The sequence below is a fragment of the Homo sapiens genome, chromosome 5 (assembly GCF_000001405.40).
Source record: "Homo sapiens chromosome 5, GRCh38.p14 Primary Assembly".
Classification (NCBI taxonomy): domain Eukaryota; kingdom Metazoa; phylum Chordata; class Mammalia; order Primates; family Hominidae; genus Homo; species Homo sapiens.
Window position 1 is genome coordinate 122,390,892 of NC_000005.10, and position 25,435 is coordinate 122,416,326.

A 25,435-nucleotide genomic window follows, 5' to 3' on the forward strand; every position below is an offset into this window, starting at 1 on the left:
ACTGGGGACCATGGAGACGCTGTGTTTGCTGCTTCTGGAAAGCCAGGCTGTGGACAGTTGAAGGAAGGAAATGTGCTCCAAGGCAACACTAGCACCCAATAACCCTTCTCATCTTATTTGTTTAAATGTAGACATTATTTTTGGTTGTAAAACGGCTAAATTTTTTTGCCTTTCTTTTCTGCTTCTGTCTCGTTCAGGAATTTATAAGTATTTGACCGTACTCAAAATGTGCAAGGAAGAATAATGGAAGCCCCTGAATACCTTGATTTGGATGAAATTGACTTTAGTGATGACATATCTGTAAGTACCACTGTATACAAGAAATGCTTTCAAGATAATCTGCCTTCAACTTCATAGCCTACTTTCTCCATTATAGTCTATATATCCTCAACTTTTCTGACTACATTTAGAAATTCACAGCAGAAATCCTGTGTGGCAGACTCGGTGTGGTTTGGGGGGATCTCTTAGACCAAGAAGTGAATCTTCCCTAAGTGTGTGTTTTGGAAGATGAGTCATTTAACTTCAATGAGGCTTTCATTCCTAATGTGTTCCAATGTTGTCAAAACTATTGATTGAGTATACTTACAAAATGCAGCCACTTTCATAGAGTTAATTCCAAATTCTCTTATGTGGCTGGCTATTCCACAGCCAGCATTTTCTAGAGTTCACAGGGACACTGACTAAAGAATAGCCAAGTTGGAATTTATTAATTGATGAACAATAAAAAGAATCTTTCCAATCACTGTAGATATCAAAGCACAGATTGTAAGCTTGTTGGGAATATTAAGGAAAATTCGTGCAGTGATAAGGACTGGACTAGCTGACTTTTGAGGTCCTGCTTAATCCTGTAATGCTGTGGGCTGATGAGTCTCTTAATTCCCATAACAGCCACAAACTTCCTGCTGCTTAAATCAGGACTGCTTGGAATGGATTGTCTACATGCATCTTGCTTTGAGCTGCTTGTGCCTTATCCGGGACCACATAATCAATTCTGCTACGCTAGCAAACATGTTGGCCTGGAGTGCCCCAGCAAAACTGGCTAACTCTCAGAGTATGTGATGAGAAGGTTGCTGTTTCTGAGCTAGACATACAACTTTTCTTTCCAGGACCCTCAAGTTCACAACTTCTAACCTTATCTTCCATGGATCTCTCAGGGCCTGGAGCTATGGGTCACCACTCAAAGTCACTGCTTTAAAATTGTCTCAAAATGATGAACTTACTTTATCATGCTTCTGGCAGTTGTTTATTCATCTACTTTACTCCTTACCTTGAAGTAAAATATGCATACTGTACACAATAATTGGATTACTGGGATGAGTTTGATAAATCACCTATTTTATACAAACTTGGATGAGTCTTTTTTTTTTGTACCAGAGAAATGTGAATTCAACATTTGCCTATTTCAGCTTCCAGACAATTTTTATTAGTCCTCATTAAAACCAATGTGGAGTGAGCTTCTTCCTTCCCATGATATATTTTTGTCTACGTGTCTGTCTGTCTGTCTGCCACTCTCTCTCTCTCTCTCTCTTTCTGTTTCTCTTTCTCTCTCTAAGTCACTATGCTTGACTTGGAAGCATTCAAAGCAAGGTTCTTTTATGATCACTCCCCTCACAGCCATTGTGGGAAAAAGCAAGGAATGTGAATGGTAGCATGGGTGTATGTAGGTAGGATGGAAGGTGTTGTAGAAAGGGAAACTGTGTTATGATTGGGAGTTAGGTGGTAGCTCTCCGAACTTTGATAATGATGTTGTGTTTTAAAAGCAAAGGCTTTGAAAGCAGCCAGCCTGGGTTCCTACCTTGTTCTGACTCTTACTGGCTGAATAGCACATTAACTTCACCTTTCTGAGATACACTTTAGGTTGTTGTGACGATTGAGTAAAATAATAATATATGTGAAACACTTAGCTTGGCACACAGTAAGTTGCTCTTAAAAATGGTAGCTTTTGTTATTATTTCACTGAATTATACAATAATATTTATATGACCAATGGTGAAGAAAGAACTCAAGGGAAAACACTAGGCATAAAGTCAAGATTTTTTTTTAATACAACAGAGCAGTTGTATTTACAGAAGAATCATCTGGCAGCAGCCCATAATTTTGATGAATTGGGAATCTCCACTTGAAAGATAATAAAATACATTAAGCAATAACTAAAACCGTTTAGCAAACTAGGCTACAGGATTATGCAATAGTTGAGTGTCTATAACTTGACCACTCTAAAACATAAACAAAGATATCCATCTGTAATTGTGTAACTGCACCCAAAATTTCCCTCTTAAACATGTTTCGATTGTTTGGTCCTTTAACCTGCATTTAAACTTATATCAGATTTTGAAATTGCATAGATTTGAAATTCTATGAAATTTCATAGTAATTGATGAAATAATAATAATAGCTAACGTTTATTGAACATTTACCATGGGACAGGCATTATCTTGGTTAATCCTCACAGCAATCTTCTAAAGTTACTGTTTTTATCTTCATTTTACAGATGAGGAAACTGCAGCATGAAGATTTTATGTAATTTGTCCAGGGTCACCCAGCTGGTTAGGTGTATTCTGTCTCCAGAGTATTTACTTTTAGCCACAACACTTTACTGCTTCTCCGGGATGAATATAGTTTATTGCAGTGGTTCACATCAGGGGCAATTTTACCTGCCCCACCCCTACCCCAGAAACATTTAACAATACCAGGAGACATATTTTGTTGTCATACCGGGGAGTTGCTACTAGCATCTAGTGGGTAGAGACCAGAGAGGCTTCTAAACATCCTGCAATGCACAGCACAATCCCCTACAACAAGAATTGTCTAGCCCAAAATGTCAGTAGTACTGAGGATAAGAAATCCTAGTCTATTTAAATCCACTTGCAACTGAAGACGCTCTACTTTGGCAACCTCTACAACATAGATTATTTAATCATAATTTAGTGTGATCCAGACTTCATACCTTAGCGAAGCCAGAATCATATTGTTCTAACTTAATGATTACATGGAAAAAGAACTGGAGACAACCTCTTAAATACTGGAATGATTGTTCTCAGGCTGTTTAGGTAAACTAGGAGCAATGAATATTACAACTTCTTTAAGGGCTAAGTGGAGATTATTCAAATGCTAAAAATGAAAAAATGAAGATGTGTTCAACGTGCTAATTCACTGGCATAAAAAGAAATGTAGTTTCCCATGAACATGCAATTTTCTTTTTTTTTTTTGATACCAGAAACCTCCATCTCTGACAGCCCCTAAGCCTCTTTCCTGGTTAAGTGGCAGGAGGGGGAGGAAACTGCACATTACACCTGAAAAATATGTTTATGAAAAAGATGCCCAGTTTCAAACTCTTCTCCTTACTCTCTAGCTATAGCCCTATTACATAGTCTAGGCTTTCTATTCCATGGTATTTCCCTCTGGTCATGAGCCTGGTTCTTGTTTTAATTAAAACGTAAGCTGTATATTGGTAGAAAAAACAACTAGAACTTATTTTGCCTTTACTTAATGAGAGAAAACACAGCAGCTAATTTATTTTGAAGTTTCCCAGACTAGAAAATAACGCACATCCTTTGCAAAACACAAAGTTTAAACTATACATTCTTGTAATCCTGCCATCTAAAAGGGCAGAACATTCTCCAATAGCTGCAGGTCTGCAAGGGAGAGATGACGACACATAAGCACAAAGGTTTAAAGCAGGGTTTTTCTGTCACTGTGAATGGGTTCACAGATTTCTCTCTTCCTATGGAAGCCAGATCCCTATGTCTTAAAAACAAAAACCCTCTGGAATTCTTTGGAGCTATGGTGTATTTATTTTATTAAGAGAGGCCAGTGTGGTGCTCTTAAAAATAGTTTCACACACAGGACTAAAGAAAGCAGAGGCTGAACTCTGGATCTCCTGAGGAGCTCACTCACAGCCACCATCCACCAATGTTGGCCGTGCCGCACACTGAGATAAACTCTTTAACTAAGTTATCTTGTTCAAGCCTCATACATCAGCTTTGCGAGGCAAACTCTGTTTTTATTCCTTTTGGCAGATGAGAAAATTGAGGCTTAGAGAGCTTGTCTGACATTCACAAGGTTACAGGGCCAGGACCTAAATGCAGAACTATTTGGCCACCTTACTCCTCCCCATCTATGCAACTTAGCTGAGTAGTAGTTTCTCTAGACCAGTCACCTCACTCATCACTATCCCTGATTGGCACTGTAGTGATTACAAATTGTTTTTTGGAAGTAAAGGGATTGATAGACATTATAAATAAGTAAAATGAAACCAGCTAATGAGAACTTAAGCAAATCTTTTAATTTTACTGTACCTCAACATTCCCATCCGTTAAATGGTAACACCTCAACCTATTACCCTAAATTTATACACATACACTCACACATGCACACAGCCACATATATACACATATATACATGTAAGTATTTACACATACAGACATATACACACACATACAAATAGAAGTGAGAGAAATATTCTGTTGCCTTTCTGTATAACTCTGACTGCAACCTTGATGAAAGTTGACTTTTTTGGCAATTGCATAAACTATTTTTTGTACAGGTCAAATGAGATCAAGATAATAAGTATCCTTCCACTTTTCAATCCTCTTTGGTCAAAGCCTTTGCAACCTAGAGTAATGGCAAAAAATTATGTGGGTTCATTTTCCTAAGGTGCTTGAACCACTGTCTGATAGAAAAATTAATTCTTATGGTAAAATAATCTCACTTTCAGTGAGTTTTCATGTCTTTCTATCACACAGACTGTGCAGCATTTTTACTAAAAATGCCTGCCCCCTTCTGTTTTGTGTGCATCACCTTTTCCTCCATTCAATCCCCTGATGCTTCCCCAGATTTTGTTACATTTTGAGAAAGACTCATTTCAAGTAGACTCAGGCAATGAGCTGGCATGGGCAAAGAATACAGCTTAGATGTGAAAAAGAGTATAAAGGTATTCAAGGTACAAAGAACCTAGCCTCCCCTTCTCTCTAGCAATGAATATATTGAATAAGATGGACCCTATTGTACTTTCTTCTGTACCTTCTAGAAGGTGACCAACACTTTCATGTGGCCTCTGAGTGGTTCAATCCCTTTTTCACTGTCTCTGTCTGTAAGCCCTGCCCTTCCTAGCAGTCGCCCTGTTCTTATCTATATGGAAACTTTGTTTAGTGCTTCTCCGTGTGATCTAGTTCCAGCAACTGTCCAGAATACCTCAGCTTTATGCAGTGTTTTTTTGTAATATCCTGCATTCAAGGCTAAATTGCCTCTCATTCTTCCCTTCTCCAGCTCAGCATCATCAGAAACCTCACACCTTGTTCTAACATCATATGCCATATGTGTTATCTTGTTTTTCTTAATACCTGCCAGGAAATGAATTAGGAATCATCTAATCCAGAAAAGATGAGTTACATTTTGATATTCTATTGTTAGTGTTAGACCCCAGGACTAGAATCTAGGTTCCCAAACTCCAAATCTTGGACTGGAGACCTCTGCCAGAGAAGGTAGAGAATAACTCTACAAATAGAGTGGTTTCTAAGAAGAATGAGCAACCGCTGGATTTTTTTAAATTTTCCCTTTTACTCTGCAGATAGTCCTGGAAGTTCTTATCTTGCCTGATAGTCAATAGAAATTATTAGATTGACTATGCAGATTATTGACAAAAACTGTTCACCTTTTCATCACAATTAGTTTTTATGCCAATCTAGTCAACAAGCATTTACTAAACATTAACAGAGTATCAGACTTGGTTCTAAGCTTGGGGTGAATGACACAGACTTGCTATGCTCTCAAAGTGTGTATAGTATGCTATATTAATAACTAAGCACATTATGAAGTCAGGTTAACTTCATGGTAGGTCACATTTGATTATAGTACTAAACTCCATTCTTGGCAGTGAGTCCTTGTATTTTGACAGTGATTGATTATTGGCTCACAATTAAAAATAGACTATCATTGAAGTTGAACAAGGTTTATGACTGGCCATCTGCCCTACTATAACATACTTTTTTCTTGTAATTCTTTTGTCATTTGTAATTTTTGCTTGTATAATTATGATTACTTTGGCTTCATTTTAAAATGCTGGTTTTGGTACTTTTAAATATAAATAATAATATGATTGCTAACATTTATTGAACACTTAACTGTGCATCAGACACTCTTCCCAGGTTTTATATTACTAGTTCATAATCTTCCCGGACACACCTTAATGAAGGTACAGTCAGAACCTTGTTTTTTACCAGTGAAGAGACTGATATACAAAGGTTAACTAAGATTAATTAGCTAGAAAATGGTGAAGTCAGGATATAATGCAGGTAGTCTGACTCTAGAATCCATATTTGTAACCACTGCGTTGAAAATTACATCTGCTGGGCCCCATGGTCACCTCTGGTTTTCCCAGTTCAGGTAGGTCTCTTCTCCATCCATGTCCACTTCTTATTATACAATATAAGGAGATCATTCAATACTGTGATCTTACCACATTTACTAAGTGGATCTTCATCTCTTGCCTGACTACACATTATATTAATTAAATTAACATTGCAATAGAGTAGTTCCTGATGCACTCTTAAAATGATCAAAAGAGTTACTGAGTTTTCTCAAATACCAACCACAAACAATGTCTTAGCATAAAAGAATTTAAAAAAAACTTCTTAGAATGAAGATATGATAAAAATAAGGTACCAGAGCAAAATTCAAATTTATTTGAAAATAGGATTAGTTATAATAATTTTCATTAATGGAGCCCAAATGGTGGGAAGAAATGTATTTAAAGCAGAGTCTAATAGAGGTATGAAAGTGTGGATCACCAGTATCTGTACTATGTAGAGGTGGTGGTTGAAATTGGGGGTATAGTTAAGGTCATCTGTGAAAACATGGAATGTGGAAAGAGAAGAATATTCAAAAGATTGAACTGTGCAGAAGTATATTCCATGTGGTGGGGTCTGGACAAAGGCATTTCTACAAAAGAAACTGGAAAGAAGTTTTCAAAGTTAAATAAAACTAAGGGAACTAAAAAGACAAGGGGGGTGAATTTAAGGAATTTTAAACAACAGTTGATGGTGGCAAATAGGTCATTATAAAGACGAGAGTTGAAAAATGCCGTCTGGATTTTCCAGTTAAGACCCCCTTGGTGGCCCTAGTAAGCACAGTATCTATTGAGTGGTGGGCAGAATCCTATTGTGAGGGCTGGAGGAGTAAATGCAGAGATGAGGAAATAGAAACACAGAGACAATTCTTTCAAAAGAGACGGCTGATGAATGCAAGAGCAGGAAGGCCCATGCTCAGTCAAGGAGGCAGTGTCTTGAGGTGGTAGTGGTGCTTGCTTATCTTTATAAGACCAGAGGAGAAAGCCAACGCTGAGAGTGGGCTGAGGATAAGGAGAGAGGAAAGAATGGTGGCAGGCAAGAGTCCTTAGGAGATGAGAAAAGAGGAAACCTGAGCCCCAGCAAAGGGTTAGCAGTGGAGGAGCAGACTGTTAGTGCCATGTCCCAAGGGAAGGGACAATGGAACACAGTTTATAATGGAGGGCATGAAGTCTTCCTGAACTGGAAGGGCAGGCCTTTAGAGGGGAGGCTAAAATTTTAGAAAAATATTATGTTCTGAAAATTTCATTTCAGCTACATGTCTCTGCTGTCACTCCCAGCTTTGTTTGTACACATTATTGCCATTGTTTTTATTGTGTGCCTGTTGAGATACCTGCCTGAATTTTGGAAAACTGTGCGAGAAATCATGAATTTCACCATGGTTGTTTGGATGGCTGGCTTAATTGTTTCTTTTGGAAACTTTTATGGGGCCTTAGTAGTTTGAAAGTCTCTAGCTTGCAAAGGTGCTTGGGATGTTCGTTCTTTCATTTTCTGTGGCTCATTACCATTTGAGTAATGTCTGCTCATTCGCTTAGTCGGCTCCAGTTTTCAGGAATAAAAGCCAAAGCTTTTCAGCACTGAACAATATCTGGGGTGGTCAGAGATCCCCGTAGCCCAACGTAGAAATCACGCACTGTCATTATGAATCTCATGCATGTTCCAACTGTTTTGCATGGCATGGTGACAAAACTGACTGGCGTAGGCTGGGATGTATAGAATCATCTTGTGCCATATCAACTCTGTGAAGTTTTTGAAGCTGACTTTTCAGTGTCATCCCTGGGCCACAGACTCTCTTCAGTGAGGAAAGAACAAAGAAAAGCCAAATAATGTACTGAGATAGGCTAAGTTATATTTCCTTTCCTTTCTATTCCCAGCTCGACCCCTCTCTTCCCGCCTCATTAGTTCTCATGTCTTCATCTGCTGAGCTTAAAGTCATGGCGGAAATGAAGATGAGGAGGGAAGCTCTGAGGGCACACTTAGAAAACAGGATAAAGAGAAGAGACAGACATTTACTAGAGCTTTACAGTTTGCAAAATGACTGCATCTATGTTATCTCATATAATTATCTGTCTTCCACACATAAGGAAACTGAGCCCCAGAGATATTAAATGAATTATTTGTCCAGAACCACAGAGTTAATAAGTGCCAGAACCAGGACTTCAATCCAGATCTTATGGCTCCAAATCCATTGTCCTTTATACAAAAGTTTAAGCCATCAGCCATTACTCATGCTATTAATATATTAAGAATTTTTAAATATAAAATGATTTATTGCTAGACTTGTAATTATGGGTTTTTCTAAGATTAGTGCTATGTAAATATTAACTACTGACATTATTATTATTACTGCCACCAAAATTATGGACTGAGCTATATCCCTGCCTCATTAGTTCTTATGTCTAGAGGAATTTATTTAATTTGGTTTAATAAGTGCCTAGTATCTTGGGTAAATAAAATATTGTCCACACTTTCAGGAAGCAGAGAAAGCATTTAGGTAAATATATAGATGAACCATCCTATGATGAGTTCTGTAATGGACATATGCCTAACATCAGGAAATAATATAGGACAATGATTCTACAACTTCATCGTGCGTTATAATCACCCATATGGCTTGTGAAAAAACAGATCGCTGGGCCCCACCCTCAGAGTTCCTGATTCAGTAGGTCTGGGATGAAGCCCAAGAATATGAATTTCTAACAAATCCTAGGTTGTGTTGATACCACTGGTCCAGAGACCACACTTTGAAAGCTGGCTTTACTTCCTTATGGGGCAGGGGTCAGAAAAGATTTTGTAGAAGTGATACCCAGGCAAAGCTGGAAGAATTAAAAGGAGTTTGCCTAGTGTAATGGGCAGAATGGCATTTCAGGTAGATGGAGTAGCATATGTAAAGGTATAGACAGGCAAAACAATGGGTATGGCAACCACCGAGAATTTGTTATTGCCACAATCAGAAGAGAAGTAGACAATGCGAGATGAGGCTGAGCTCATGGAAGGCTTCATGTGCCATGCTAAGGCATATGGTCTTTGTCCTATAGGCTGTGCAGAGTCTTAGTCAAATTTTTATTTCAGAAAGCTAATTAATTCTAGTGTTAGTATAAAGGCCTGGAGGAAGGTCCCACTTACTACTTAAACATGAAAGAGCTCCTTTGAATGTCTATAATATTATGCCCAGGGATTAGTCAATATGTACACGTCTTGTTATTTCAGTTAAACAGTTAATCAGTCCCTGTGTGCCATGCACATATACAAGTCAAAAATATCATTCTTTCCCTCAAGTGCTTATGGAAGCCAACACCTACAGATAAGAAACACCACAGCACATGACAATGCAGAAACTTACCAAGGGGAGAAAAGAGAAAAGTCAGTAAGGGCTAAAGCAATCAGCCAGGGCTTCATGGAGAAGCAGAACACAGCTGGCCTTGCCTTGTGAAATGGTGGCATTTGCCTGGCTAGAGGAGGGCATTGCATGAATGGGGGACCCCCAAGTAAAGGAACAGAAAGTAAACAAAATTTTGGAAGCACAGGGACGGTGAAGAAGCTGAGGCAGCTGGTCAACCTTTGGCAGAGCTCTTCTTCAGACATGGTAGAGAAGTGGAAAAGAAGTCTGGAAAACAAATTTAGATCAAAAGTCTATGTTCACTGGGAATAACCTCTGGAAGACTTCTAGAAAAAGAATAAATTATAGAGATAGAAAATGTAATGCTTCTTCATTAACTGCAAGCCCCCTCTTCACTCTTCTCACCCAAGGACAATAGGAGTCAAGGGAACAGGCTACAAAAGCTTGGATTGGAGGACACAGACAGGGAAGATGCAATGGGCTTTGGTTCCCATAGGGCCAAACTGACAGTAGTTGCTGCCCTGGGAGCTTGCCATTGTCCTGAGAATGAGGTATGTTGGCGAACTGACAGTTACTTATAAAAGGCCATCTGTCCTGTGAACTGGGATGAAGGCCTGGGAAGCCTTCCATTTCAGCTCCCAGATGGTAGCACAATGCATACTTGTAAGGGAGACTTCTTGGATCATTTGCTCATTCCCAAATTTGCAAATATGAAAACATTTTTAGATGTTGGTTTTGTGAGTTATGTGTTCCCTGTGCATTTCTTCACATCACAGCTTAACAATCTTCACAACACTCCCTTAAGCCTTTTCTTCCATCCAAGGAGCAATGTTTATACTTACTGAAACAGATCCACAAATTGATTTTATCTTGTGTCTTTATAAAAAATGATGGACTTGTTCACAATGTAGATTAGAGTCATTGCTGAATTTGATGTTCATATACCCTTAAAATTTTCCAAAACTTTAATTTTTCTGGATAAACTGTCATCTTTTTTAGATTGCTATACTTTTTATTTCTATTCCCAGGAGTAGCAAATGATATTTTCTTCACAGTTATTGTTACCAGAGAATGAAAATATATGCCTTCACCAAAGTGACTTCCTATGTGACTCTGGGTAGAGAGGCAAAGTGCCACAAGTGATTTAGGTTGAGGCAGTGGCAGTGACTCACCTAGGCTAGTGTCCGCCTGTAACTCAGTTCCCACACCAGCCAGGTGCTGCTCAAATGTAAACCTCGTCAAATTAAAACTTACTATACACTATGGGCCTTTGAGGCCAAATAGGAAAAGTTGAAGCTACAGCGAATACATCAGAGATTCTGATATGTCTGACTTTGGGGTGGGAGATGGCAGTTAGGAAGCATGTGCCTCGAAATACAGATAGCAGCTCACCCATTTTAATCAGATATATATCATTAAGCCCAGTGAACAAACCTTAGTGAATTTTTCATTAACTGTATTTAAACACAATTCATCTTAAATTTCCTCTTTCTAAACTCTTGCCTTGGATGAAAAGAAAAAAAAAAAGAGTGAGACTTTGCCAAAGGGTGTTTCATGGGACACATGGCAACCAAAACAAAAGGCCCAATTTTAATTGAATTATAGACTGTGTAATTATCTAACTTGTACCAGCTGGTCTCAAGAAGCTACCAGAGTCCTTAGAGAGCTTGTACTTGGCCAGAAACATAAGGTACCTTATTAGTACCAAGAAAAATGCCTTGTGTACCTGTGCTACCCCAGACCCCCAAAGAACATAATGTGAAAGGAAAAAAATACTTACAGGTTAATTTTGGGTTTAAGAGGTAGTCATCCCTCCCTCTGAGCATGTGGGTGGGTTTGCTAAAGCACCTGTAGTCTCAGAGGCATGGCCAATATAAACAGGATGTTATTGCATCAGACAGGTAAGGGTAATTTCCCTAATTAGTCATTTGAGATTTCACTTTTCACTTGGAAATACTGGAAATTTAATTTGTTTGTGACATGCGGTTGGCAAACTGACAATATCTACGTTCCCACCCTATGTCTTGCTGTCCTGGTATCCTGGGGAAAGCACAAGGAAGTCTCAATGCAGACGCTTTGCTTCATGTATTGACGTCAAGCTAACTAAAGTACCTTCTTACTGATAAATGTGTCCTAATTACACATTCTTCACTTGTAATGCTAGAGTAATCCTAATGAGTTTCCTGTGATCATTTTTCTTTTAGATTAAATGCTTTTTCTCAATCCCCCCAAATTTTGCAATGGTGAAGTAATTTATGATACAAGCTCATTTACTTTAAGAACATTGTCCTTAGAGGTAAAAAGCAAAATAGTTTCAGGGAGCTGCATTTTATGAATTAAAGTATGAATGTGATTGAAGATAGTCCCTGACTTGGCCTTTGATTAAAGAACAATTTCATTTTATTTATTTTATTTTAAAACACCCTCCTCTAAAGAAAGACTGATTGGCATCACATGTTGTCCTCATAAATCATAGCTATTGATTTTACATTTGTTTTAGCTCTTCCAATTGTATGCCCCCTTGTATCATAATTTATCCTGAAAGCCAGCCTCTGAGTCGGTGCTGAAACTGAGCCTGGAGGGTGGTTTCTTTCCACTCAAACTAATCTATATGTGAAAGAGATGAGCTTTCAAACACAGAACCACACCCCTCTTGCTTTTTATGACATTACCCTGGTATTTCCCATGGAGATAATGGATGCTACACAGTAAAATCTGTGGCAAGTGGCAACATTAGGAACTTTTGCCTAGTCCAGTCAGCATCGGCACAGACATGTCTCCTGACTGCCCCGGATGCTGCAGGAAGCCAGGTGCTCCCGTACTTGGCTTTTCGTACACAAGCTCACCCTTAGGATTCAGAATGCAATTATTAAGGCCATCTTCTTGAAACTCTCAGGGTCAGACAGTTCTTCCATCTTCCACAAGTGGCAGAAGTGATAAGAGGGAGAGAGTGTCTGCTGGCTACACCCCACCTTTTTTTGTTAAAGAAGGAGTGCCCAGCCCTCTTTTTAAACTGCATGTGGTTAGATGCTGCAGGTAGATCTTAGGATGCTGCCAGGTCACCACGCAGCCCATTTAGGGTAAAATGAGATAAATTTTCTGAATATACATGTTGTGCCCAAGTATCACTTATTGTGTTTTGTTTTTCTGGCCAATCTGAGTGAATGCTCGCATTTTAAATTATTTTATGCCCTCTCTTCTCTGGCTTCCCGTTCAGTATTCAGTCACATCACTCAAGACGATCCCAGAACTGTGCCGAAGATGTGATACGCAAAACGAAGACAGATCAGGTAGGTTTTGCTCCTCCCCTCTTCTCCTTATCCTGGCTCAGTGTTAATGGCTCCTGGAAAGCTGTTTTTCCTCACACTGGTCCCCCCTGCTTTCAGTTTTCTTTTCTCTTTACGGCTTCTCCACTCACACCACCCCCCACCTCATGCCCTGCCTTCAACAAACAGATGTTAGGTCATCTGAAAGAGGATAGCAGGACAGGGAGGCCCTAATGAGGACTCAGCTGTATACAGATAAATAAATATGGGAGATCATCTCGGCATCTCCAAACCACAATATATGCAGCAATTTACTGAAAACCCGAGAAACCATTGGTGACAAAACATAATGATGCAGGCGCCAATGAAAAAATGTTGGATGCATTTACTACCCATATGGCAAGGACCAGCTTGGGGAATGGTGCTTTGCCAAAGTCGGAAACCCTATCAGAGATGCGACATGATAGAATCTGCAATAAGGCATACTGTAACAGTTAAGATTAAAGCAAAGGCTTTGGAGTTTAATAGTGTAAACTAAACAGAGAATTATGGCATATAGATGAAAACCAGCTGGTCGACCTTTTCTCTTTACACCCCCAACCCCCAAGAATAAAAAAGTACATTCTGAGTTGTTTTCCCTCTGTAAATCAAATTAAGCTTCTCTTCTTTTCCTTCTATGATGGGCAAAAATGAAAATAAAAAAGGATATTGATGGGAGTGATACCATGGTATTAAACTATGAAATGATGTTTATTATTTTTCCAAGTAATTACTCTATGGCATCACCATTAACCTTCCCAAAGCTGGACCTACTCTGATAGTCACTAGAATCCTGAGAACCAGATAATCCTCAAATTATGTGTATTGTGTTTAAAAATAAATAGATGTGCCTTACCTATACAGCTACTAGAATTCTAGGCCTTTCTAATGGAAAGGATTTTTTACAAAGCTAATTTACTTTTCCTCTGGACTGTTTGTTTTCCTTTGACATTTTTCTTAGGAGAGACAGGAAAAATAATTAGTCTTTCTAGGTTTGTTTATCTTGGTGTTTTTTTGTGTGTGTGAGTGAAAGTAATGCTTCAATGTTTGGGTCAGAAACATCACAGAAGATAGTTTTCAGTTCAAATAAAAGCTTTTACTTACCTTCACTTGTTTTTTATTTCAAAAACATTCAAGTTCATATAGGATTTAATAGAGGCTCTTGGCTATAAGTCTTATAAGGATGTGTCTTCTTAAAAGGCAGTGCCCATTTCAAACTTGAACCAATGACTATGATCAATGACACAGGTAGCTGACTGCAGTGGAGAGGCTGCCAAGGTCAGAGTCACCAGGCCTAGGTTTGAGTTAGAGTTCAGGCACTTATCAGCTAAATGACCTTGAATCTGTGACTAGTTATCTACAAAATAGAGAAGATACGTGTACTAATGTTGCCCAGCTGTCCTTAGGATCAAAATTAGGTGATGTATCAAAAGGTTACTTTGCAGACACAAGATTTTCTTTTTTCTTTAATTGGATGTAGGGAATAAGAGAGAAGAAAAAATAGCAAATACTTTATCAGGGCTTAATGTGCTGGGTACTGTTGTAAGCACTCTACTTACATTAATCCCATTAATCCTAAAATACTTGTGAGCTAAGTACTATTAGGATATTTATATTATAGATGGGGAAACTGAGGAACAGAGATGAGAAGTTAAATATCTTACCCAGAGTCACACAGCAATTAAGTTACAGAGCTGGGATTCAAACCCCAGGAAGTCTACTTCCAGATTCTGTTATATTATCCCTTACATATACTACCCTTCCAGATAGTTTGACTTACTGGTAATAATTTACTTTTAAGATATTATCCTTTTAAATCTTTACAAGTCAGCATTTTCCCTGATTAAGTTTAAATTATTTTTTCCGTTAAATGGTGACTCTTACCAAGTTAAGTGAATAAACAGAAACTTTTAGTTTTTCCCAGGGCTGGTACATTCCATTCTCTCCAGGTCTTACAATTTCTAGTCATCTCCACAATAAATGATGGTAGACTTTTCTTCCGTGGTTGAGGAGGAGGCCAGTTTCAAACTTAGAAGCTTTTGAACTTTACTCACAGCAAAGGCGCAGTGCTCAAGGTAATCAGTAATCAGACCTGACAGGAAATGGATTATGAGGGAAAGACTCAGGACTCTTAATGGAATTGCATGTACATTTCCAATTTGATGGACCATTTGGAGGCTGGGAAACTGCATTCTGATAGATTGAGAGTGATCCTAGAAAAAGGAACCCACGGAAAAATGTGTCTGCCCACAGCATCACTGTAGAATTATCCATGGGCCCCTCTGAAAGAAATCTCAACGTGATGAAGTTTTCGGAGCTGGTTTCCTAAAGAATTGAGGCATTCTCAATCAGTTCCATAGGCATCCAGATGTAGAAATAACCCTCCTCCCCCTGTCTTTCTTGTAAATCAGCCACATAGAAGGAGTTTGCTCCAGGAAAGCTAGCAGATTTCTATCTTTTCAAACAGACGCAGCAGAATGCACTTTGGCTTCTGAGAAAAGTCCACATCTTCTTTGGGATGGGGCACTCTCAGGGGAAACTTCCTCAACCGTCTGTCACTTACAGTATACCTGATATGGTTTGGATCTCTGTTCCCATCCAAACCTCATGTTGAATGGTAAACCCTAATGTTGGAGGCGGTGCCTGGTGGGAGGTGACTGGATCATGAGGGTGGATTTCTCATGAATGGTTTAGCGCCATCTCCTTGGTACCATCCTTGTGATGGTGAGTGAGTTCTCATGAGATCTGGTTTAAAAGTTTGTAATACCTCTCCTACTCTGTCTCTTGCTTCTGCACCCACCATGTGAGATGCCTCATTCCCCCTTTGCCGTCTGCCATAATTGGAAGCTTCCTGAGGCTGTCGCAGAAGCAGAAGCCGCTATGCTTCCTGTACAGCCTGCAGAATCATGAGCCAATTAAACCTCCTTTCTTTATAAATTACCCAATCTCGGGTATTTCTTTATAGCAGTGCAAGAATAGACTAATATGATACCCCACGAGACAAAGACATTTCTCTTTACCTTTCTAGAATAGTTACACACTTGCTATTTTGTATAGGTTGTCAAATGTTAACATCTATCCTTGTACATATTATATCTTTGACCAGATGTTCTCATTTACTCTCTTATTTATTTATTCAACAAATATGTGTTGAGTGTCCTCTGGCCCAGGTACTGAGGACATGGTAAAGAACAAGACAGACAAGGCCTCTGTGCTCATGAAGCTTACATTCTACTGGCAGTGACAGCCAAAAGGCAAGCAAACAGATAAACAAGGTCACCACAGATAGAGAGAAGAGGCAACATGAGAGACTGTGGTAATTTTTAGGAGCTGGGGAGGGAGGGAGGTCTTAGGGCATCAGGGAATATTAGAAGGCTCCAGCCACGAGAAAACCAGCAAAGAGTGTTGAAGGCAGAGGAACTAGTAATTGCAAAGTGCCTAAGCCAGGAATGAGCTTAGCAAGTATGAGGAAGAAAAAACCAGTGTAGCTGCAGCATGGTGATCAGAATGAGGAGCAGTAGGAGATGAAGGCAGAGAGATGATCAGGGTCAGACTCCTTGGGGAGTTCAGATTTTATGCTTAGTGCAGTGAAGAGCAATGCCAGCAGGATTCCAATTTTTCTAAAATCTTATGACCTGGAAAGAAGCCTCAGCATGTAGAATCATAACTCTCACTAAGAGAAAGGACTTTCAAAATCATCTAGTCTGCAAGAAAGAGCAAGTGAGAAAGTACAAATAATAAAGCAAATGGGTAAAATGCTGACAACTGATGAATGTGGATAAAAGGTCTACAGCTATTTTTTGTACTGTTTTCATTTTTGCAACTATTGTATACATTTATTTAAAAGTGAAAAATATAAGAGTTACACACAAATAAAAAGTTTTCTAAAAGGCAAAAAAGAAAAAAAATAGTCCAAAGCCAATCAGATCTTTGAAGGTAATCCTCCTTATCCCAACCACAGGGTCATGTAGCCTGTACTTCATCAATTTAGCAACAGGGAGAGCACAATCTCACAAGGCAGCACATCCATAAAGGTTAATGCTTTACCTGACCAAAGTCAGTGTTCGTTGAATTTCCACTCATTGATCCTGGTTCTTCCTTTGGAACCACAGAAAAGGACAGTCCCTCCTGGCCAAGAGTGCCACTAGGTGTGTGGAGACAGCAGTCACTCTTGGGCCTGTCTTCTCCAGATGAACATTTCCTTCCTCAGTGCTGAGTGTGTGCTGCTCATTCTTTTCACTCTCCTGTGGATACAGTACAGTTACCAGCATCCCTCTTAAAGTGGAGTGCCCAGAACCAAACCAGAGGTTCCTCCACATGTGGTCTGCTCGGAAACCTGTCAGCCCCACAGAACAGTCCCCTGGGTTTCCCACATATCTTTTCTGCTTTCCCAAGTAGGGCCGTCCATTCTGCCTGCTTCCTGAGTGTCCTCAGAGGAGCTAGAGTGTAAAACAAGCCGTGTTTGTGGCCCTTGGAAGCCCCTCTGTGAGACACGCAGCCTAGGGCTCACCTCACTTCATCCCTGCGGCTTTAGTGGTGGGCTCCAAGAATGGAAAATGGCAATGTTGTCAGAGGCCTGGAAGTCATCTCCTTGCACCTTCCACTGGCTCACCAATGCCCACAAATCCTCCTTAGGAGTGCCCTTTCTTTAGCTAGAAGCTTTGATTCCTATTGAAGTCTATGTTTTCCCCTAACAGGAATAATATTTTAAACTATTCTCCATCAATTACACTGCAGTAGGACTGTTTCAAATTTTTGTGAGAAAAGTGGTCTAGAAAGAAAGGAAGTGCAAGGGAATTGGAGATGCCACAAGGTGGGAAGGAAGCAAAAAACTAGGAGTGGGAAGCCTGAGAATGAACTGCCTGTGCATGGAGATGCACAGGTGCTATTGAGGTTTCTGAGTTGTTTCATAAGCCAGCAGTGTACCAGGCATTGTGCCAGGCCTCTGTAAGCAGCATATTTATCCTCAAAATAATTATCAGAGGGAGAAGCATTACTGTGCCTATTTTATTGATGAGGAAACTGAGGCTCACAGAGGGTAAATAATGTGCACAAAGTTCTAGAGCTAACAAGTGGATGTGAAACTTGCTCTACAGTCTCCAGACCCCCTGTGGGTAAGCTGACTCAATTGAGGAATAATTTATTCCAGAGAACCATGTGTAGCAACTAGTTTGGGACAAGGATTAGCAGAAAGGAAGTTATGTGTAAAAAAAAAAATGCACCTAAAAAAGGAAGTTATTTGTGGAACTTTTGCACGCATTCTCTGCTTAATATCTACTACTCATGTGGGAAAAGAGGACACCACAAGGCAGTGAATGTTAATTCTTCTCTATGGTTTTCTCCAAATGAGGACAAAAAATACATTATGGTGACATATGGTGTTCAAATCAAAACATATTCAGTTTCATTGATTTAGAGTTTTTAAAAATTAATTGGGCATTCAAATACACATTTGTCTCAATTCATGCTGCTTTAAATGTGATTCTTTCAACATCTGTATCTGCTAAACTCATTGTATAATTTTCTTATGAAAGAAGGCAGATAAATATTAATACTGCTTCACATCTGAAAATTTAGATGTGCTGGATTTAGAAAGTTCAGTTATGTAAAAGTAATAAATGACCCTGTAATGTGTCTGAGAATGGATTCTGAAAAAAATTTTATACCTAAATAATATAAAGTGTTACTTGTATGACAATGAGTAAGGAAACAGTACTTTTTAAACTTGGTGTCTGGCATTAAAGTCATGTAGGTTGTACATTTAAAAGCATTGCAAATTCGCTATATTTTTGAACCCTGTGCATGCAAATTTTGTGACAAACCCTAAACCTACAAAGATAAAATATGTGATGTTCTAAGATTAAAGGGATTTAAGCCAGCACCTAAAATAAGTTGACATGAAATTTGTCCTGTAGATGCTGTTATGACATAGTTGGTGATGCTAAATATATAAACCTCCTGTTTTCAATATTTGTTAAGGTTTAATGCTAAAAGCTTGAAAGTGAAGGTTGGTATGGCAGTTTGAATTGAAAAGCTTGCTGATTAATCCATTTCACAGGATGTAATGTAAACTGGACTCTAAAGAGCAGGGAAACACATTTTCTAAGATCTCAATCAAGAAAATGAACACTTCAACCTGATGCAGCAAGAAACCTAGCATTTATGACAAAGAAATGTTTCTTTAACTAGAGTAAAAATTTACAGATAAGACATCTAGATGAGATTGTTTATCAAATAAAACAATTATTTTTATTGTTTAACAAAATATAATTATAAAGGTGATATGATCCATTATTTTTAAAGAACTTAACCTTGCCACCAAAACAAAATTACTGCACTTCTTTTGAGTATTTTTTCCCCGAGGCATATTTGTACGTATGGTTGTAATCACAATATGAGGACAATTTTTGCTGCTTTTTCTGTTGCTCCAGAATGTGCATAGCTGTCATTTTGGATGGACCACAGAACTTACCCATGAAAGCCGAGCTGCCCCCTCTGTGGAAAAGGAGAGATCATCTCTACCTTTAACCCCTTTTAACTTATTAACACTTCATTTATGTTTCTGAGAGGAAAGATGTAGGTCAATGTTCATAAAGATGGGGGCAGGAGGTGAGAGAAAAGTTAAAATAAAATTCTGGTGGTATTGAAAATAATAAAAGGGGCTGGGTATGGTGGATCACACCTGTAATCCCGGCACTTTGGGAGACCGAGGCAGGTGGATCATTTGAGTTCAGAAGTTCAAGACCAGCCTGGCCAACATGGTGAAACCCTGTCTCCACTAAAAACACAAAAATTGGCTGGTGGTAGTGGCACACCTCTGTAATCCCCGGTACTCAGGAGGCTGAGGCAGGAAAATTGCTTGAGCCTGGGAGGCGGAAGTTGCGGTAAGCCAAGATCGTGCCACTGCACTCCAGCCTGGGTGACAGCGAGATTCCGTCTCAAAAAACAAACAAACAAAAAAAGAAAATAATTAAAAGGGCTGAAGGTAGCAGAGCTTAAACACATCGCATCTTTGCCCCTTTTTCTCTTGACTGGAACATTTCTTTGCTTAACCATAAATGTTAAGTGGCACAGCAAACTGATTTTCTACAAGGTTCACAGCAGTGGAATTAAGAAAGGAACAAGACAGTATTTGAGGGAAAGAAAACTTACGGGTAAAAACTCACAGTCTTCTCTCCTGTGTTTTGGTTTATTTTTACTGGACTCAAAGAAACATATCTTCCACTCCCCAAACTGGTAAGTAAAGAAACCGCCTGTTGGTAGAAATGAGTTAAAGGAAATCTGCAGTAAAAAAGGATGAAAAATGGGAAGTCCAGAGAGGGACATCCTTTAGGCAGGGAGGGAAAGAACTGAAACATAGGGACAAGGACAAATGGATACACGGCCAAGTCCCTTTGACTTTGTCTGGCTTTGCCGTGACTTCCTTCTCACAAGTCCCCATCCTGTCACAGGAATAGCAGTTTCCCCCATCCCATCTTCCCATACTTTTTAAAGGCAAAAGTATGAGTGTGTGTTGAGGGACATTTCTAGTTTAGGAGCTTCTGTTATAGCATCTCTGACAGCACCCCAGTTCTTCCTGAAAGCATACCCTTTTGCTTTTGTCTCTCAATATTAAATGGGCTCTATCTTCCCATTTCAGATCACCCCTTTTTATCCACATATCTCCTTTGCTCTGACTCTTCCCTCAAAAAAAAAAGTCATAAAGTAAACACAAGTAATAGAAACAAAATCCTAGAATCTCATAGTTGAAGGGTCCTCTTGCATAAGTCCTGACCCTTCTGTGGCATTTGCTTTTCAAATGGCCCTTGCATCTCACCGTATGATCCAGGACTCACCCCAGCACCGTAAGCGTCAGCATCACCCAGGAGGTTGTGAGAAATGCAGACTCTCACAATCAAAATCTGCGTTTTAACAAGCTCAATCCCCAGGGTATTCGTTTATGCACATTCAAGTTTGAGAAGCACTGACCTGGGCCACCTAGATACCAGCCCATTGTTTTTAGTGAGGCACAGTGATCTTTTCAAAAATGCAAGTCTTATCATGCCACTCCCTGCTCAAAACCAGGCAATGGTTTCCCAGGATGGTTCTCAAGATATGCAGTGGGAAACTCTCTCATGTGGCCTTCAAGGCCAGAGTGATCTTCTCTTGGACCAGCAGGCTTCCTCGCACGCCTCCTGCCTGCCAGTCACGTCAAGGAGCCTCCTTCAGTTCTTCAAATGTGCAGTGTTCCTTCACATGGGATATTATTCCTTTTCTCCCTCCACCTTCAAGATCACCTCCTTAGGTGATCACCTCCATCTTAAAAAACAAACAAACCACCTCTAGAATCTCCCATCCTGTTTCTCTGCTCCTCCTTGCCAACCCTCCATTTAGAGCCAAGCTGCTTTAAAAAGTCATGGGAAACTCCCTCCTCTGTCCCCAACTTCCTATTTACCTTAAACATCCCTAGTATGATTTCCATCTCTCTAGGGAAGGTCACGGCTTCCATGCTGTCAAATGCACTGACACTTTGCTATTCTCATCTTTCTTGACCTGTCAGCATTAGTTGAGACAATAGTCCCCTCCTTTCTGGAAACGGTCACCTCTCTTGGCTTTGTGAGACCACCTCTCTCCTCATTTTTCTCCTAACACTCTGACATCCTCTTAGTCTTCCTTTGCAACTCCTCCTCCTTCCCAATTTGACCTTTCAATAGTCAAATGGAACTAAATATTTAATAGGACCCTCCCTCTGCCCTCTCAGCCTCTCAGTTGGTCTCTCATACATGCTTACAGCTTCAAACACCATCTACATGCTGCTGTGAATCCCCGCCATACTCCAGCCTCCTATTTAATGGCCCACTCAATGTCTACATTAGATGTCTCATGGAATTCTAAAGAGAAATTCTTGAATTCCCCTGCCTGACGTGTTCCTCCTCAGACTCTCTCCTCAGTGAACTGCACTCTGCTGACTGAAACATCTCATCAGGCGCTGAAGCCAGATTTCTTGCTTTCCCTGATGTCCCACATCAATTCATCACCAGGTCTTGAGTCTCTGTGCTCAAAGTATTTCCCCATGCTATAAACTAAATGTTTGCGTCCCTCCAGAATTTGTGTGTTGAGACCTAACTCTCAAGATGATGGTATTTGGAGGTGGGATCTTTGGAGAAGTGATTAGGTCAAGAGGATGGAGCCCTCATAAATGGAATTAGTGTCTTACCAAAGCAGCTGCTGAGAGCTCCCTCTCCCCTTCTGCCATCTGAAGACAATACTTCTCTGTAAAACCCCTCAGAAATACCCTATTTCAGTTAAAATAAAAAACAAACTCTTTGTTATGGCCAATAAAATCCCCAAATGGGTTGGTCCCTGATGACATCCCCCAGCTTCAACTTTGCTTGCTTTGACTCTGACCCACTCTGATCTAGCAATAACAGCTACAGAACCTGCCAGATTCTCTCTGCTTTAGAAACTTGCACATGTGCTTCCTTCTACCTACTCAGATCTTCATAAAATTATCTTTCCTCTTATATTATCTCCCAGTTTCTCACGTAATTGGCTTCTTCTCATCCTCCAGATCTTAGCTTAAATGTCACCTCCTTGATGAGGTTCTCATCTGTTTTCTATTCCAGTCCTCTCCTTATTTCTTCAAAGCAGTTTACATTAAGTAATTTTTTTTATTTACCTGTGTACTTGCATCATTGTCTGAGCAGGATTATATCTATTTCATTCACTCCTGCACCCCTAGTGACATGTGCATAGAGACGTTCAATATATATTTGTTGAATGAATGAACTGTCTAAGAGTACCATAGCATTCTGCCAATTACCAATTGCTTTAACACTCTGACCATGCTTTGTATTCCTGCTTTCCTTGCTAAGTTAAAAAAAAGAAAAAAGAAAAAAAAAGGATCACCACCCTTAGCCAGTTGAAGGAATTAGCAGCTGTAAGAACAGATTACCGGTGATAAAATGACTAAATTTAGGCTAATGCTGCTAAAAATAAAGAGGAAGAAAACCCTTCCACTCAACTGTTTTTAAGAAAGGTTGGGGGATTTTTTTGTTTGTTTTTTTATAGACAAGGTCTCACTCTTTCGCCGCAGCTGAAGTGAATTGGTACAATCATAGCTCACCACAGCCTCCAACTCCTGGACTCAAGCAGTCCTCCTGCTTCAGCTTCCCTAGTAGATGAAACTACAGGAGCAAGCCACCATGCCTGGCTAATTTTTTAATTCTTTGTAGAGATGAGGATCTCAGTGTTACTCAGGCTGGTCTCAAATTTCTGGCTTTAGGCAGTCTTCCTGCCTCAACCCCCCAAAGCACTGAGATGACAGGTCTGAGCCAGTGCGCCCAGCCAAGAAAAGTCATTAAAAATTATTTTTCCTTTTTTTTTTTTTTGAGACAGTCTTGCTCTGTTGCCCAGGCTGGAGTGCAATGGCACAATCTCAGCTCACTGCAACCTCCATCTCCCAAGTTCAAGCGATTCTCCTGCCTCAGCCTCCTGAGTAGCTGGGATTACAGGCATGCACCACCATGCCTGGCTAATTTTTGTATGTTTAATAGAGATGGGGTTTCACCATGTTGGCCAGGCTGGTCATGAACTCCTGACCTCAAGTGATCCGCCCACCTTAGCCTCCAAAGTGCTGGAATTACTAGCGTGAGCCACCTTGCCCAGCCATAAATTACTTTTCTGACTTTGCTCCCACACAGAAGGTTCCTAGTAAATGGTTACCAAAATTTAGACAGACAACACAGTGTTGGATTTAGGTTAGAGTGAATCCAAAATGAGTACGACCACTGATTTCTGGGATTCCATTGCATATAGGTGACCCAAATAGAGAAAAATGTGAATTATATCTTTAGGGAATAATTTAATTTCAATAAGGCAGTCCTCCAGTGTTACGGGAAGAAAGTTAGAGTCAGAGAACCTTGGTCCTAGTTGAGAAGTCAGCATGCTATGTCATTTTCCACATTATACTTAAAATTCTCTGAGTTCTCATTTATTTCCAAGTAAGAATACATAAGAACTGCCTTTCCATCCTCCAGAGTTGTGGAAATCTCTAATGAAATCATACACTTGCCTTGTACTCAGAAACATAAAAAGCCTTAACACAAATGTATCGGCAATTTTAAAGTATTAAGTGGAGGACATTTTAGGAAAATTCCAAATAAGAAATATTGCTTTGTGGAATTCTTAAAATAGGTTTAAATCTTTCTTTCACTCTTTATAGTATACTTGTGAAGTGTATGGTGACCTGCACCTGAAGACGGAGGTGCAGCAGCTCTGCCATTCATTAATCCCAGGGCGAGCCACTTTCCGCTGTTCCTCCCACTTTGTATGCCACTGCACCTGCCTGTTCTCTCTCTAGTCTTGTAGCTGAGAGTTCAGGCCATGGTAGGAGCCTGCATGGGCAGACCCACAGACCTGCCAAGAGCAAGAGTAGGCTGCAGGCCAGCACTGGGTCTTCCATTTCTCCTCCCCTTAAAGTGTGTCCTTCTTAAAATAAGACCAGTTTTCACAGACTCACCACTTTGTTTCTTGTGGAAAATAGAATGCATTTAAGTTTTAGCAACAATAAAACAAGAAGGGAACACTCTTATACCCTAAAGACATACCCCATTTTCTTTGTTGTCTTGGTGTCTAAAGCTAATTTTCTAATGTGGACACATAGTCCATATTTAGAAGTAAAATCAGCAGGCATTTTGGAAGTTGTCAGTTGGAAATGGAGAGAAGAGGGCAGGGATTTTTCAGCCTGTGCTGTCAGCCTCCTGTTCTCTCTTACCAAGGAGCAGTAACTCAGAGTCCTTTGTCCTTGACGGTAGATCAGCCCTGTAAAACATCGCCACCTTCAGTTAAAATGTGTGCGTGCTGCACGGCCAGAAGCCATACTGAGCCTGCTCACAGCTCTGCCCTGTTCCAGAGCATCTCAAATGGTGAGCCTTTCACTGTCCCTTGAAATGTATCTCTCCCTACATTTCCTCAAGAAAGGGAGGGAAAGAAGGAAAGGAAACCTGGTAAATGGACCTGGAATGAACACAAAACTTAATCCACTCCCGAGGTTTTGCTAGTGTCGAAGTGAAGGTCAGCATACTTTATAGATGACACAATAATGCGAAGACCACGTAACTTTCTGCACCCCACCAATTGCTGTTCTATGGAAACTGTACTTTTGAAGCCCAAAGGTTTAAAGTTGTCAAAATATTGAGTCTGATTTCGTGATGGAATATGCCTCTTTGGTGAAGTATCTTTTCTATCCAGGGTAGTAGGGCTTGAGTATTTCAATGAGTTGTCACTAAAACAAAGAAATGGGTGCAAATAGGGTGCAAAGTTATGTGAGCAGGTCTTGACAATTCTGGGCAGAGCTGGGAATAATAAAACATGAATCGGACACATTCAACGACAGCTGCTTGATATCAGTAGCCACTTAAAGACAGAAAGTTTAGAACCCAAATCAATGACGCTTTCCCCACAGT

The 25,435-nt window shown here is 39.9% G+C and overlaps 1 protein-coding gene across 54 annotated transcripts in view; it reads left to right on the top strand.

The window, feature by feature from the left end:
• The window catches only part of SNCAIP (synuclein alpha interacting protein), a 152,867-nt gene that overhangs the window by 79,539 nt on the left and 47,893 nt on the right, over positions 1-25,435 (top strand). For 33 of the 54 annotated variants that reach the window (NR_131762.1, XM_006714734.3, XM_047417925.1 and 30 more), the window contains 2 exons: positions 198-300; positions 12,902-12,974. Coding sequence is in view for 49 of the 54 variants with exons in the window: in XM_006714734.3 (XP_006714797.1) it covers positions 244-300; positions 12,902-12,974 (130 nt within the window). In the remaining 5 variants the exon portion in view is untranslated. Of the gene's footprint in view, positions 1-197; positions 301-10,094; positions 10,236-12,901; positions 12,975-25,435 lie in introns of those variants that run through there. The other 21 variants (XR_001742366.2, XR_001742364.2, XR_001742365.3 and 18 more) reach the window with 2 other exon arrangements.